The sequence below is a fragment of the Homo sapiens genome, chromosome X, assembly GCF_000001405.40.
Source record: "Homo sapiens chromosome X, GRCh38.p14 Primary Assembly".
NCBI classification, from domain to species: Eukaryota; Metazoa; Chordata; class Mammalia; order Primates; family Hominidae; genus Homo; species Homo sapiens.
Genome location: NC_000023.11, coordinates 15707894 through 15724407, shown reverse-complemented (window position 1 = coordinate 15724407; position 16514 = coordinate 15707894). Strand labels below are relative to the sequence as shown.

Below are 16514 nucleotides of genomic sequence, written 5' to 3'. Positions count from 1 at the left end.
CTTTAAAAGGCATCTTGCATGAATCAAAAGAATGACACGTTTCATTTTCATGTGATCTCATATTTACCCCAGAGCAGTAGATCAATAGTTATGTGCCCAGAAAGTGCTTTTCAAGAGTGTTGTGGAGTATAAAAAACACAGAGAAATCAATTTCTTTTTCCCATCTCAGGAGACTTGGTGCCCTTTTGTGTGGCTCATGGCAACAGTCATCTGAACTTTTAAATCTACATGCTCTAAACTCTGAACATTTGGAAGTAAATAGTAACATATTCAGAATGATTCAAACTGCTTTATTTGTCATCATTACCACAGTTACTAATAAGTTATTAAGCTCCCTTATGTGAAGTTGCTGAAATGAGCAGTTTATGAAGCAAGTTACACAGATATAAAGATTCTGAAAACTTACTACTTAAAACTTGTACATGGTGGCTCATGCCTGTAATCCTAGCACTTTGGGAGGCTGAGGCAGGCAGATCACTTGAGGTCAGGAGGTCGAGATCAGCCTAGCCAACATGGTGAAACCCTGTCTCTACAAAAAATACAAAAATTAGCTGGGCGTGGTGGTGTGCACCTGTAGTCCCAGCTACTTGGGAGTCTGAAGCACAAGAATTGCTTGAACCCAGGAGGCGGAGGCTGCAGTGAGTCACGATTGTGCCACTACACTCCAGCCTGGGTGACGAAGCAAGACTCTGTCTCAAAAACAAACAAACAAACAAAAAAAGCTTGCACATCAAGACAATCACTAAATTTGTGCAAGATTTTGAAAAGTTTAAAAAAATACAGATAATATCTTGAGAGGCAAGAATCCTAGTATCTAGTTCCATTTTCTATTTATTTTACTGAGATCTCCATCAAGCTATTTAACAATGAATTTGTTTTTTGTACCTTCTATGTGACATGTCACCTGTGGTGTCTTCATATTTGAAATCAAGTTATTGGCAGTGTCGCAAATTTGTCATTTGAGCTTTTGTCTTTTTATTTATCTCATAGGACCCATACAAGTCATTAACTGAAATCTTGCCACTTTGGGCCGCACATTTAGCAATTTTTTTTTGCTGTGGTCAAACAAATCTAAACATATGAGTACATCAGCCCATGGGCAAGAATTAGCTTTATCCTGATATAAAAATCTTACTACCTTAAGAAAGTTTCCACTTCATGCCCTTTAATAGTATTAATCATATTAATATGATATATCTGCTTTAAAATAATGTGAAAGTCAAGACAATGCTTTTATTTTAAAAACAGAAATGTAACAGTGCAATATTCACTTACAATTCCTTTAAAAAGAATATTGTCAACAATAGACACTGGGATGACAAGAGGAGGAGGGTGGGGGACAAGGGTTGAAAAATCACCTACTGAGTACTATGCTCACTGGGTGATGAGTTCAATCATACCCCAAACCTCAGGATCACACAATATACCCTTGTAACAAACAAGCCTGTACATGTGCCCCCGAAAATCTAAGATAAAAGTTGAAATTTAAAAAAAGAAAAAAAAAAAAGGAGAATGCCAGAGCAAATAACAATAATAAATGAATATTGTCAGATGCTTATTTGAAGTTATTTACAAAATATATTTGGATATTAAAAGTAAACTGTACAGATTTCCTCCCATAAACTCTAAGATTAAATATGTATTCATGTGCTTGAGATTAATAAGAACAATATTTAAAATATGATACATATATATTTAGAGTTAAATCTGAAAAGAACTTAGAAATTTAGAAAATACTTTTAAATGTAATAACTGGGTTATAGGAAAAAATGAAAACTGTTATTATAGACTATTCTGAAAATTAATGATAATGAGATTACTATACATCTATATTTCTTATGTCATATAGCCAGAGTAGTACTCGGAGGAAAATCCATAGCCACAGATGTTTTCATTATTAACTAAGACCAAAAGTAAACAAGCTTATTAGTCAACTCAAGAGTTATAAACAAAACAGCAAAACAACTATAACTTAATCAATGAACTAAGATGAATGAATCAGGAAACAGAAAGAATAAAAGTGAAAATTAATCCAAGAGCACGTTCTTTGAAAAAATAACAACAAAAAACTAGCAAAACTTCTGGCATGTCCAATGGGAAACTGAGAAAAAAGTAATGTATTCACTAGCAAATATAAAGAGAACATAGCAACAAAAACAGATATTTTATAGAAAATATCCTATAATGCTCATGAGAATACTGAAAAATCTGAATGAATTAAAGGATTGTCTTGGAAATTGTAGAGTCTAAATGGATTTAGAAAGATTCATGAAATCTGATACAAATGACCGTGGAAGAAATGAGAAGTTTTCAGAGAACTTCTCACCACAAATATGCATGATTCAGATTATTTATCCATAAAGTGTTTATTTCATATGCTTTTTAAAGTATTTCAAAACACAGAAAATGCTAGAAATATTTCTATACCATATTCAAGGTGGCAATAAAAAGGAAAAATCTTCAAGAATTAGCTCCTGAAAAGAAACCTATATGCTATTCTTCATGAAAACAGAGCTAAAAATCTTAGGAAAAACCTAGCAAAATATGTCTAGTAGCTTGCTGAAAATAACTAAAATAGTCAAAATCAAATAATGAAAAATTGAAATAAAAATTAACTTATATAAGGGTTAGATCAATGTAAAGAAATTTATCAGTATAAAAGTACTAAATGATTAAAAAACCCAATGATCATAATAATACATACTGAAAAGATAGTTACATTTCAAAATTGATTACTGATTAAAATAATTTTTAGTAAACTGGAAATAAAAGGATACTTTTATCAGAAAACAAATCATATTTAACAGTGACTCACCAGATTATGTGGAGTAGAAATAGTCCCATTACAGTAAGGAAGAAGACAAGTGTCCATGTTATCCCACCATTATGTCACTCTGTTGTGATAGTGCCACTACAATGAGACAAAACAACAACATCAACAACTAGGTATTACTATTGAAAAGCAGGAGAGAAACTTTAAAGTATATGCAGATGACATGAAATAATAGGATTGCTTTCTGGGAAAATGCAAAAAAATCATATATCAAATTGAAAGGGGAACTAACAACTGGCAAAGAATGTCTGTACAGCAGGGTGTGGAGGCTCATGCCTGTCATCCCAGCAGTTTGGGAGGCTGGGGTGGGTGGATCACCTGAGGTCAGGAGTTCGAGACCAGCCTGGCCAACACGGTGAAACCCCAGCTCTACTAAAAATACAAAGATTAGGCAGGCATGGTGGTGTGCCTGTAATCCCAGCTACTCAGGTGGCTGAGGCAGGAGAATCGCTTGAACCTGGGAGGTGGAGGTTGCAGTGAGCCGAGATTGAGCCACTGCACTCCAGCCTGACAGAGCAAGACTCTGTCTCAAAAAGAAAAAAAAAAAAAAGGAATGCCTGTGCACACACAAATTCATGCAAAAAAAAATTGAGAATAATGAAAATTTTGGCAGAAAAAGTGCAAAGGATCAAATAAGCAGAAAAAGAAATACAAATGACCATTCAACATATAAAAATGTTCAGTTGTACTATGAAACAAATGATTGCAAATGGAAGCAGTATTTACATACTGCTATACCACTTGTTTTGCCAAAAGAGTTTTGAGAGCCAATAATATATGGCGCGGGATCCTGGAAAATGGACACTCATATACAGCAAATAATCTGTACACTGACATAATCCTTTTGAAAGGAAATTAACACATACTAAAACCCTACATGTTTCTATACCTTTTGACTCCAAAATTTAAATTTACACCAAAGATATTAATAGAAGTGAATAAAAATTTGTCAGTTTCCAGAATATTTATTATAGCATTGCTTGCTGTAATTTAAAAAAATAAAAAATAAATTTAAAAGCATACAACAGATCTATAAAATGAATGAAATATTAGACAGTTATTAAAAGATGTGGGAATACACTCAAAGTAACACTGTGGATCGGATGCAGTGCTCAGGTCTGTAATTCTAGCAATCAAGAAGGCTGAGACAGGAAGATTGCTTGAGCTCAGGAATTCGAGACCAGCCTGGGCAATATAAGCAAGACCCCATCCATTCAAAAAAAGTTTAAAATTAGCTGGGTATGGTGGCATGTGCCTGTACTCCCAGCTATTGTGGGGGCGGAGGGCGGCTGAGGCAGGAGGGTTGCTTGAACCCAGGAGGTCGAGGCTGCACTGAGCTATGATGGTGCCACTGCACTCCAGCCTGGGCAACAGAGTAAGATCCTATCTCTATAAAAACAACAACAACAACAAAAAAAAAAAAACAAAAAAAAACAAAAACAGAACACAGTTAAGTTCAGCAAAGAAGATGACAAAGCTGTATAATAGCATGATTCGTTTTGTTTTTAAGAATTTATGTATATACACACAAAAGAAAACACAAGGCTTAGAATGGTATGTTCCAAATATTTAGAAAACATTAACATTGGTCATTCTTTGACGCTGGTGGAATTACAGGTGATTTTTACTTTTCTCCTTGTGCTTCTTTGTATTTTCTAAGAAGAATTTATATTGCTCTTTTTAAAAAGATGATACAACAAACATCGAGAAATCATCATTCAAAAGAGATTGTCTTCTCAAACGAATGACTTACACTAAGACTCAGTGTTTTACTGTCTTCAACCCTAGCTATATAGATGACTAAGCAAAAGCCAAAGAAAGCCACTTGATACTTTTATGAAGTGTAAGGCTAAAGGAAAGCTGAAGCAGGTTTCTATGTCCTTAGCATAGCTTTCTTCCTTGATGCAAATAAAATGCTTTGTTATAATCTCTATCTCTATGTATATTGATTTTTCCTTACCATCATGACTTTACTTAGTTTAACATTTCCCAAGATGACTTCATCTAGTCTGGCTTTTTTTTTTTTTTTTCCAGGGGTTAGCTAGGTGAGCTCTTCCTTCTGGAAATTTCCATTGCACTTAATATAGTGACATTGCTAGGATGGCTGGACTAAGTTGTGGCTCCCTCTTCTTTTAGTACAGCTTTTCCTGACTCCGTGTCCTTGCGACCAAGATGAAGGAGAGAGAAAAAGCTTCCTCAGTTGGATTTAGCTGATGGACATGGGTCCTTTACAATAAAATACCACCCTTGCAAGGAGGAAGAAATGATGTGTTTCTCAAAGTGCTGCAGAAGTCTCATTGTTGATATTTTCCTCGTTGTTGCTTTGAAAATCCAATATTTCTATTTAACACCAAGGTCACCCAATCTAATTCTGCCATTCATGATTTTCGAGGAATGGGGTAGAATTTGGGGACTGAATTTATGAAGAGGCAGCATGGTAGAGAGGAAAGCCCTGACATCAACCTCTGGGCGGGGCGTCGATTGGCATCTGTGGAATGCCCACGGGGAAAGATTCTTTTACACTCATTATCTTAATTCTCAGAGCATCTCTGAGGTTTTGTTGCAACTTCAGCGTTCTTTTTTAACTTTTATTTTAGGTTCAGGGGTACATGTGCAAGTGTGTTATATAGGTAAATTGTGTGTCACGGGAGTCTGGTGTACAGATTATTTTGTCACCCAGACAATAAGTACAGTATTCGATAGGTAGTTTTTCGATCCTCTCCCTCCTCCCACCCTCTACCCTCAAGTAGGTAAGAGGAAGCTCTGAAGCTCTCCTGGGATGTTCACCCGCTGTGGTGAGTCAGGTGAGGCCCTTCATGGAAGGGCACCCTTTGTTTACCAGAGAGAAAGGAGTCACGTTTGTTTCCTGAATGAAGATAGTCTGTCTATGAACCAGGTATCCTAGCCCCGAAAAGGTGGAAGGTGCATGCCAAAAAACCTCTAGATAGGACTCAATTCTTCCCATCATACACGTAACCAGAGACTCGCAGAAGGGGTGAGGGAAGGATTCCAACTTTGAGTCAGCAGAGGAAACATTCTTTTGAGGTAGAGTCTGGAAAAAAACAACGAATCTGTAGATTTCCATAAATAACTGACAGGAGACAGGTGACTTCTATGAAAATATTAACCCAAATGATGGGTGTTAATCATTAAACCTTTTAGGTGGTGGCTTTGTTCTTTTTCTGATATTTTAATCTGGGTCACAGAATGGCTCAGGCAGCTTTAAGTGCAGAGTGGGTTTTTCTTCCTTTTTTGTTTGCCTTTTGTTTTCTATTCCAAAAGGATGTTGTGACCTCTTTTCCTGGTAACTGCTATTCTTCCCTCCCTCCCTCCCTCCCTCCCTCCCTCTCTCTCTCTCTCTCTTTCTTTCGAGATGAAGTTTCACTCTGTGGCCCAGGCTGGAGTGCAGTGATGAGATCGTGTTCAAGCAATTCTCCAGCCTCAAACTCCCAAGTAGCTGGGATTACAGGCGCCCGCCACCACGCCCGGCTAATTTTTGTGTTTTTAGTGGAGACAGGGTTTCACCATGTTGGGCAGGCTGGTCTCGAACTCCTGACCTCAAGTGATCCACCTCCCAAAGTGTTGGGATTACAGGCATGAGTCACCGTGCCTGGCCAGAAATTGCTATTCAGGTGGAACTCTGTCAACCAGGTAGTTAGCCTTGAAACTTAAAAATACATTAACATGGGCCAGTAAGAGAAAAGGCTGGACAATAACCACTGTCAAAACAGCAATAAAAATAATATTAAAAAACAGCAATAAACAACCTAATTTTGCATCCAGCTCTGTTCCAAGCAAAAATAAAAAAAATAAACAAAAACAAACCAGTTTTCTGTTGAGTGCATCTTTGATTTAAAGGACTTGTTATTTCTCTAAATTTGCAGATGTGTTGAGGCTTGAAATTTGAGCCTGTGACTGTTTTATGAGTTTCAACAGAAAATATTAAACCACCTAAAATGACAGAGGGTAAACTTTCAGTAAATAATTTGGAGCCATTCAGTTGTAGATCTGTTTTTTGTTCATTCCAGTTGCATAAAATATTAGGAATCACTGGGCTCTGTTTGACACATTTTGTCATTATTACCACTCTTTCGAGTGCTCAATAGCCATCTATGTGTAGTGGCTGCCATATACAGACACAGAACATTCCCATCATCACAGAATGTCCCATTGGACAACGCTGTTCTATAGCATTAACTTTGATTTTCACAGCTGCCAGATTTTTGGGTTGATCAAAACCAACCCCTTTGCAAGAAAATGCTTTTAGAGTGAGACAGAGCAGCTCTGGCAACTAAAACGGTAAGTGAAGTACCTGAGTGTTCATTTTGAAAAAATTGCTTTCTAATAACACTTTCTTTATTGCTGGGCCCTTCTGCATAGTTATCTTAAGCTTGAGTAAATCATTCCTAAAGACCTCATTCCAATGTTTTATTAAAGCAATAATAGACTAAAATGGAAATTGTTAATAAAATGGTTTTTATTAAAGTATTTATAGTACATGCTAGAAGTATGAACTGATGACACAACTAGTATGTGTCACTTGGCCTGTGAAACCATATGTGGGATATAAAGATATGTTCAATTATATACATTTATTGAGCACCTATTATGTGTCAGATACATGCACAACAGGTGGCTAAACTGCTATGGACCTTCTTGTACGTGTTTTTTCTGTATGCTTTTTCTTGGGTATTTACTTAGGAATAGAAATTTGGGTCACAGAGTATACATATGTTGAGAGCTATTATCTCTTTCCTTATCCTCTTGTGAGTTGTACACCTTCTCATTAGTATATATGCTCAATTTCACTTATGCATGGAGGCTCTTTCTTTGAAATGTTTTGAATGCCCTAGGAGAAGTATGCTATGTATTTCAATGAACAAGCTTTCAATCTGTTCACACTTGCCCAGGATAAGTTGGTTCCACTGGCAGGATACCCAACCCAATCTAGAACTACATCAATCCTGTTCTGATCTAAATAGCTTGGGGCTTTCTTTTGTGACCAAAACTGGACCCCTACCCAGCCAGCTCAAGCTCTTGGTTTTAAGAGGAATCAATGAAAGGACAGATCAGGTTAAATCATCCTCAAGATCTGAAAAACAATTTAAGTATGTGTTCTGGTGAGAGTTGGCTAGCATCTTCATTTTAAAAAATACTGTATTTCTCTTTTTCTCAGACCCATGTTAAAGAAGAATCATGGAAGGAGGGTTTCCTGTCCAGGGATTGAACACTGTTGCAGAGTTTCTTCCAATCACCAGCTACTGAGCAAGCTGGGAATGAAATGGGTACCTCTGCCAGATTTGCTTTTCATCCAGTTTCCAAAGCTGGCAGAATACTATCCACTTCCAGATGCCATCCTGGGAGGTAGGATCTTCATTTTTATCTGCTGCTCTGAGCTTATCATTGTTATCTACACTTGAACAGGCTCATTCATCATCTCTACATTGTGTTAATAAGCCTTCCCTATCTTTACAGCATGTACCAACTCTTAATCAACAATAGTCTTTCTTGATTTTCAAGTTTGTAGATTAGAGGTCTTTGTGTGCTTCTGCTACTTAAGCAGGGAAAGGCACCAAGGGGATAGTGAAACTCAAATTTATTTTTCCTTATATTTATGAAAATAACTTTGAGGAAAGAGAATCCTAAAATTCTTCACCGAAATGAGGATTTGGATTTTATTTGTATTTCAGCAAGTTATTCTTTTCCTATCTGAAGTTATATTACAGATAGTACAAGGGAACATCTAAAGCCAGTTCTTCCTTCATGCCCAAGGGAGTTGTTTCACTGCAATGTAAATTAGTTTGAAATCCATCCTGGCTGGGCACAGTGGCTCACACCTGTAATCCTAACACTTTGGGAGGCTGAGGTGGAAGGATAACTTGAAACCAAGAATTCAATACCAGTCTGAGTACAAAGTGAGACCCCGTCTCTACAAAACATTTTTAAAAAATTAATTGGGCACGGTGGTGTGTACCTGTTGTCCCACCTACTTGGGAGGCTGAGTAGGAAGAATCACTTGAGTCCAGGAGTTCAAGGCAGCAGTGACCTATGATCATATCACTGCACTCCAGCCTGGGTGACATAGAAAAACCCTGTCTCAAAAAAAAAAAAAAAATTCCATCCTATGAGCAAAATAGCCATTAATGATATATGAAACATTCCTTCTAGTTTTCAGTAGTCAATGAGAAAGCCTACCCTCACAGACAGTGGTGGCTTCAAATTTTCTTTGTTGATGGGTGGAGAGATTATACGGGACTTGTGTTGAAACTACATTTTGGCAGCAAGCTCCCCTTTCACTGAGATCTCACATTTATATGGAGTGCCTATGAGAGAAGTACTGATGGAACTTGTCATGGGCTAAATTCTCCCCAAACCATCCCCTGGGGCCACCACTGTCTACATACTTGCACCTTTACTTGTGTGTAGTTGCATGAAAAAGTAGCAGCCAACTGCATAGGTCACAGTGACATAAAAGATGGCTGTTAGGCCCACGGTGCACAAAATTTCCCAAGCCAAAATTGGAACACACAAGTGACAACTTGAGTGTCCTTAGGAAATGCTCTTCATGGCATCTGTAGACCAATGGAGAAATTGATGGTAAACACGTTACAAACGAAAAGAACTACTAACTACCTTGATAATGATATGATATGGTGGGGTGGGATGGCAGGGACTTCTTTATCTTGGGTGGTCAGGAGGAGGCCTTTGTGAGGAAGTGTCATTTAAGCTGGGACTGGATTAACAAAAAGGAGCCTGCCAGGGGAAAAATGTTCCAGGCAGGAAGAGTTGGTTCTTGGCCAGGTGCCCTGCATGGAGGGACATGCTGATCTTGCTGCCAGGCAGTATGAGTTATAGCAATACTGGCTGTCAAGGCGATGAGTGATGAGGGCAGCTTAATGAAGCAGGATGTGTTTAACATGCAATTCAGGTGCTGGGGTGGATTCCATATGCACTGACATAAAGGAAGCTGCACTCCTACATGAACAGCCTTTTCCTATGGGAAAGGGCACCACATAATGCAAGATGGCATTGAAAATAACTTTGCAAAGAGACTACCTCTCTCTAGTGTGGTGGGTGGATGGAAAACACCAGTAGCTTGGCAAATGGGTTAGCTTTTAAATCTACCTTCCAGAGGTCTTTTGGTTCCAAAGTGAGACTGAGTGAATTAAAAATTCTGGAGGGTAGCTGTTATAAGCTGAATCTTGTCCTCTACCCTCCCAAATTCATATGTTGAAGTTCCAAACCCCAGTACCTTAAAATGTGACTGTATTTGGAGATAGGATCTTCAAAAAGGTAATTAAGGGAAAATGAGGTCATGAGGGTGAGCCTTAATCCAATCTGACTTTTGTCTTTAAAAGAAGAGGAGGTTAGGACACAGATGTGCACACAAAAACATTACATGAAGACAGGGAGAGAACAGCTATTACAGGGCAAAAAGAGAGGCTTCAGGAGAAACCAACTCTGCTGATACCTTGCCCTTGGACTTCCAGCTTCTAGACTATGAGAAAATTAACTTCTGTTGTTTAAGCCATCTAGTCTGTGGTATTTGTTATGGCAGCCATAGGAAACTAACACAGTAGAATTATCCTTTCCAAAGATGGATTCAGGGGTCTTGGACATTGGCTGTTTATTTTTTTCTTATTCCTTATTCCATGAATATTTCAGAAAACTTGAAGATACTCTGAAGCTAGTGGCTGCCTCGTAGCTGGAGAAGTTTCATGGTGGAAGGTTGGCTTGAGCGCCTGTGACTGGGGGGAGAGAGGGCAGTTTTCTGAGTAGTCTGCACTTGATATATTCCTGGGGCCAAGCAGAGGCTTTGGAAGGGAACAGGATGGAGTCATTGCCTGTTAGGCCCATGTCCTCAAGTGAGACAGGGCAAGGACAAGGCAGCGAGTGAGGCTGGAGGTGTACACCCCTGGGCGCAGAGCTGAGGTGGGGTGGAGGAAGTCAGTGAGAGCATGTCACCCATGTCAGGGGAAGATGCAGTGCAGAGGTCCCTGGAGGGGCCCTTGAAGGCTCCACAGGAGCATTCTGAGTGGAGAGCATCTGGACCACCACCACAGAGGACCCCTCACAGCCGGGAGAACCACAAGGGCCCTGGTCCAGGAAGAAGAATTTGGTCTTTCCTTGTCTATCTCACACCCCCATCATTTTGCTTTCCTGTCCCTAAGTGAGGAGAATGAAGCATGGTGGAGGGGAGCACAGGCAGGGAGGGAGTAGGGAGTGGAGCCCGGAGGAAATGGCTGGAGCCCACCACTCAGGTCCCTGCTCTGGCCAGAACTGCTGGAAGGAGAGCAGCTGTAGGTGAGAGGCAGGAAGGCAGTTTTGGTTAGGCTGGCCTGGATGCCTTAGTAGCCAGAAGTGACAGGAAAGCCACACCATCTGCCCCAGATGCTGTCAAGAGGCGAGGAAGAAGGAGCTGACAGAGTGCCCAAAGGGAACAGTGTGAACAACATCAACCTCTTCCTTCACTGCTGTCCATGAGGCCAGCCCGTGGAACTACACTGCTGTGGCTGGAGCCACAGGATTAAGTGACCTCTACTGAAAGCCTGCTATGTGCTGGGCACTGAGAGTCAAATGAGGGCTAAGATCAGCAGTCAGCAAACCATGGCCTGTGGGCCAAATCCAGCCTGTTACCTGTTTTTATACAGCTCACAAGCTAACAATGATTTTTACATTTTTAAACAGTTGGAAAATGAAAAAGATTTGTGATGCCTAACAATTATCTGCAATTCCAATTTCAGTGTCCACACACCAAGTGTCATTGGAATAGAGGCTTGGTCATTTGAGTATCTGCTGCTAACAGGCTGTGTTCTTGCTACAACAGCAGAGTTGGGTAGTCCTAACAGACAAAGCCTGAGACACTTAGCACCTGGCCCTTCAGAAAAGCTTGCTCATCCCTACAGAAGACCAGGACCCCTGACCCTACAGGAAGTCCGTCTAGTGGGGAATATCTCATGACAATAATTCATTTCCACAACAAATTGTTTTTGAAAATCTTTAAAATGTAATGTTACATATATTTTTTAATCCTTAGAGTGAATCTGACTTTGTCTTTCATTAAAAGTTAAGCATCTACCAATTCTACCATTGAATGAAATGAAGTAATTTATATGAAGTACTTGGAAGCGTATAGAAAAAGCCGTAAGTGTCACATATTATTAATCCATATGGAATTCCCATTGTGCTATTCTATAGTTGTAGAAATCAGGATGGGCTATGTAATTTGCAGGGCCCAGTGCAAAATGAAAATGGAGGACCCCTTGTTAAATCATTAAGAATTTCAAGACTACAACAGCAGAACATTAAACTATGGGTAAGACCCTCTTAAGAGCACAGGCTTGTGTAACTGCACATGTCCCATGCCCAAGAAACTGGCCCAGATAAGAATTATATGAAGATGGACTAAATGTGACAGCAACAAGGCACTTCTTTTGAAGTGATTATTTACAAATCTTTACATTAAATGGTTTTCTTGTTATTTGCTGGTTTTCCTTAAAAGCAGAATGGAAGATAGGCCGGGCGCAGTGGCTCCTGTCTGTAATCCCAGCACTTTGGGAGGCCAAGGCAGGCGGATCACCTGAGGTCAGGAGTTTGAGACCAGCCTGGCCAACACAGTGAAACCTCATCTCTACTAAAAATATATAAATTGGCTGGGCGTGGTGGCACGTGCCTGTAATCCCAGCTACTCAGGAGGCTGAGGCAGGAGAATCGCCTGAACCTGGGAGGCTGAGGTCCCAGCGAGCCAAGATCACACCTCTGCACTCCAGCCTGGGTGACAAGAGTGAGACTCCATCTCAAAAAAAAAAAAAAAAAAAAAAAAAAAAAAAAAAAAAAAAGTAGAATGGTAGATGAAAAAACTTAGTTGATAGAAGAATGCTCTAATATCTATAGGTTATTCTATTTGAGGTTTTCTTGGGACTTACATAGGAAATGTCAACTCTGCAGTTATTGGTTGAAAAACTGGGTGTTTCAACTAATTATAAGATTTAGGCCAGATCTACTAAAATGATGTCACAAGGATTTTACAATGTTGAAAGTAATTTCTAAGGAAGCTATAACGTTTACTCCATTTCCCAGGTCAACTGGGAAATTTTCTCTCTCCTTCCTTATTTATCTACAGCCCCTGACTATTTCCCAGGTCAACTGGGAAATTTTCTCTCTCCTTCCTTCTCTTATTTATCTACAGCCCCTGACTATTTCTCAGGTCAACTGGGAAATTCATCTGCTTAGTTTACTCAAATGTCGGCTTTTAGATAATTTATCATTTTTAGCAAGAGAGGTAGAGGTCTAGCTCAGGCATGGCTTTCTTTTTCTGAGCTAAATGGTGTAGGATATATAATGGATTTCTGCCTCTACCTAATTATTCAAGGATGAATCTTGTGATCTAAAAAGGAACAATGTGCTGCTGTATCCAAGGTAAGGGGATTAACAGTCTTGTGCTTGTAAAACAGCAGCCCAGTGCCTATTTAGTTCTTTTGATTTCCAAAAACAAGAGCCCAATTCTTACTACTCTTTGGAGGCAGTTGGCCCTGTCTAGCGCCATTGATGAAAAATGGCAGTGGAGCCAATTCTTAGAGAAACCTTCAGACCAGGGCTTCCCACACTTGAGGAAGGAGAGTAAACACTTTTACCTCTTTTTCGCGACTTGCTTAAAGAAGACATTTGTGTCTGAGTTAATATAATTTCTTGGTAAAAACACTGGTCAAAATGATTACTGAAGTGAATTCATCAGACTCATCTATATTTAACACCTTGAAAATGCAGGATTTCTATTTAGTTACACTAATGGTACTTTGGTTTGTTTATTAAAGACATGTCCAGCTGAACAAGTGCTTGTTGGTTAATTTTTCATTCTCTGAAAATCTTGGAGGACATTCAATGTAGTGACATTTGGAAGAAAGACCATGAAGTCACTAGTTGTACAAAATTTATAATGAGAAGAAATGTCTATCCTTTGATAGCTAAAGAAGTTAACTACTGAGCTGTGTTCTTCATGTGACTTCTCTTTTAGCACAAATTTTCTCGCTTTATGTTTACAATTCCTTTTGGCTACCTCAATCTACAGTATATTCAGGATTCTCCTTTCACTATAGTTTTTGTTATGATGTGTCTCTGAATATTTGTATCCGGGTAGGGGAAGTTTTAAGGAAGTAATCTCTCTTCCTTCTTCCCTCTCTTATTAATGCAGCTCCTACCCAACTAAATGTTTGACAGGGTCTCTTGGGGAAAAATTCCAGAAACAGCGAGATGTTAACCTTTTGTCATCCATCCACTCATTTCACAGTCACTTACTGAGTGACCCACATGGGCCAAGCTTCAGGAATACAGGGGCTCACTGCACAGGAAAGACTTGGGTCTCATGTTCTCATGTCCCAGGGAACAAAGAAATCTATTTGTTGCTGATGGACAAAGTATTTGATAGTCTCCCTAGTGACCCTGCAACTGATCAAATTAAAATAGGTGCTCTTTGCTTGGAGGCCATGAAGTTCAAATCAGGGCAGGGATTAGAGACCCTCCTGACAAAGAATGCAGACAAGCCATGTGAAATCTAGAAGCTCTTTGTCCTCCCCATGTCCTGGGTCTATTCTCACATAGGGCATGGAACTATGTGCAAATTCTGCCACCGTGGGGGTTACTGGCTTCCACTTTGGTATTTAATGCTCTGGTGGGCTCAAGACTCTGGTCTTGGTTTTCAAGAGTCTTAGCATCACTAAATTCCTGCATGGGATGGGGCATGGAATCTAAAGGCCGCTGTAGTAGGAACTCTTTTCCTAACCATACTGGCTAATCAAGGTTAGCTCTTAGTAAATAGTTGTGAGTGAATGAAGCATGTTTAACATCCTGACTCTTAAACCAGAGGCCTGTCTATTGAGGTGCAGTGGATGCAAGAAAACAGTGTCCCACCCACCCCCACCCCCGCCCACAATTTCTTTCTCTTTTTCGCCTCAGTCCCATAGGAGGATGCTCCCATGGTGGATTTGGCACACAATGGCCAGAGTAGAAGCAGTTCCCTGTTGCCTGGGTGTTAGCTCTTGTTGGACCTCGGTTTCTTACTCTTGGGGAGGCCAAGACGTCAGTTAGTTTCTGAAAGCATCATCCAAGCAAGTAGGAAGCACCAGCCCAGAGTGTGTCTCCATCTTCATATACAGCCTTTGCTGCTTTCAGAGCAGGGCTAGGCTTTCCCCTGGCCCCCTTCCCACAACATTCCTACTGTGGGAAGTGGGCTTATTAATTCCTAGTTCAACTGCATGTATGTGAACAAAATATAAACACATCTCTAAAGGTATATTTTTATGACTGCTATTTATTGAGCCCAAAGTAACTTTTTTGTTTTCTTAAAATCTGAGATTTTACTACTCTTGGCAGCACCATAATGTAGGAGGGATGTTTAGTATTCTTCCATTAAAGACCCTAAGCAAGTAAAACTATTCACCTTTTTTCCTAATGCCAATCCTGTAAGAAATGACAGAAATGGTGCTACTTAAGGCATTAGTATAGTGGATGGCATAATAACAAACATATGAAACATGTGAATGTAGAAAAAAGCTAAGTTTTGGCTCTGTCATGCAATGGACAGTGCATTGGACATCTAGAAAAAAGCCAAGTTTTTAAAATTTTGAATAATTACTAAGACTATTCTTACAACATATGGGTGCCAACGTCTTTAAAACATTTTTTTTTGAGACAGGGTCTTATTCTGTCACCCAGGCTGGAGTGCAGTGGTGCAATCATGGCTCACTATAGCCTCAACCTCCTGGATTTGAGCAATCCTCCTGCCTCAGCCTCCCGAGTAGCTGGGACTATGGGTGCATGCCATCACATCCAGCTAGTTTAAAAAAATTTTTTTTTGTAGAGATAGGGTCTCACTGTGTTGCCCAGGCTCGTCTCAAGCTGCTGGGCTCAAGCAATCCTCCTGCCTCAGCCTCCCAAAGTGTTGGGATTACAGGCATGAGCCACTGCACCTGGCAGGTGCCAATATCTTGCATTTGAATATATCTCACTATTTTCAAAGTATATTTCTAGCTGTTATGTCATTATCAATGATGCCAATCAGAACTTGTAATTTATCCAGTGGTTTATGTCATTATCTGTAGTTTAATTTATAGTGCCTAGGCAACTTTTTCAATAACTGCTTAGCTCTTGCTAAAATACATCTATATATCAATTTATAGATATACACATGCATTAGTCCGTTCTCACACTGCTATAAAGAGCCACCTGAAACTGGGTATTTTACAAAGGAAGGAGGTTTAATTGACTCACAGTTCCACGTGGCTGGGGAAGCCTCAGGAAACTTACAATTGTGGTGGAAGGCGAGAGAGAGGCAAAGCCACGTTTTTACATGGTGGCAGGCGAGGGAAGGGGGAAGAGCCCCTTTTAAAACCATAGGGTCTGGCTGGGCATTTTGGCTTACACCTGTAACCCTAGCACTTTGGGAGGCCGAGGAGGGTGGAACACCTGAGGTCAGGAGTTCGAGACAAGCCTGACCAACATGGTGAAACCCTGTCTCTACTAAAAATAAAAAAATTAGCCACACATGGTGGCATGCACCTGTAGTCCCAGATACTTGGGAGGCTGTGGCAGAAGAATTGCTTGAAACTGGGAGACGGAAGTTGCAGTGAGCCAAGATCACACCAAGGCACTCCAGCCAAATAAACCAATAACCAAAAACAAACAA

General features: G+C 39.8%; 1 long non-coding RNA gene and 1 other non-coding gene across 3 annotated transcripts in view; both read right to left on the bottom strand.

Moving 5' to 3' along the window:
- Positions 1-16514, bottom strand: part of CA5BP1-CA5B (CA5BP1-CA5B readthrough) — a 112954-nt gene that overhangs the window by 64004 nt on the left and 32436 nt on the right. For both annotated transcript variants that reach the window (NR_160544.1, NR_160545.1), the window contains exon 4: positions 2816-2911. This is a non-coding gene — a long non-coding RNA (CA5BP1-CA5B readthrough). The remainder of the gene's footprint in view (positions 1-2815; positions 2912-16514) is intronic.
- Positions 8062-8200, bottom strand: LOC124905268 (small nucleolar RNA SNORA7). The gene has a single exon (XR_007068428.1). It is a non-coding gene; the product is annotated as a small nucleolar RNA SNORA7 (small nucleolar RNA).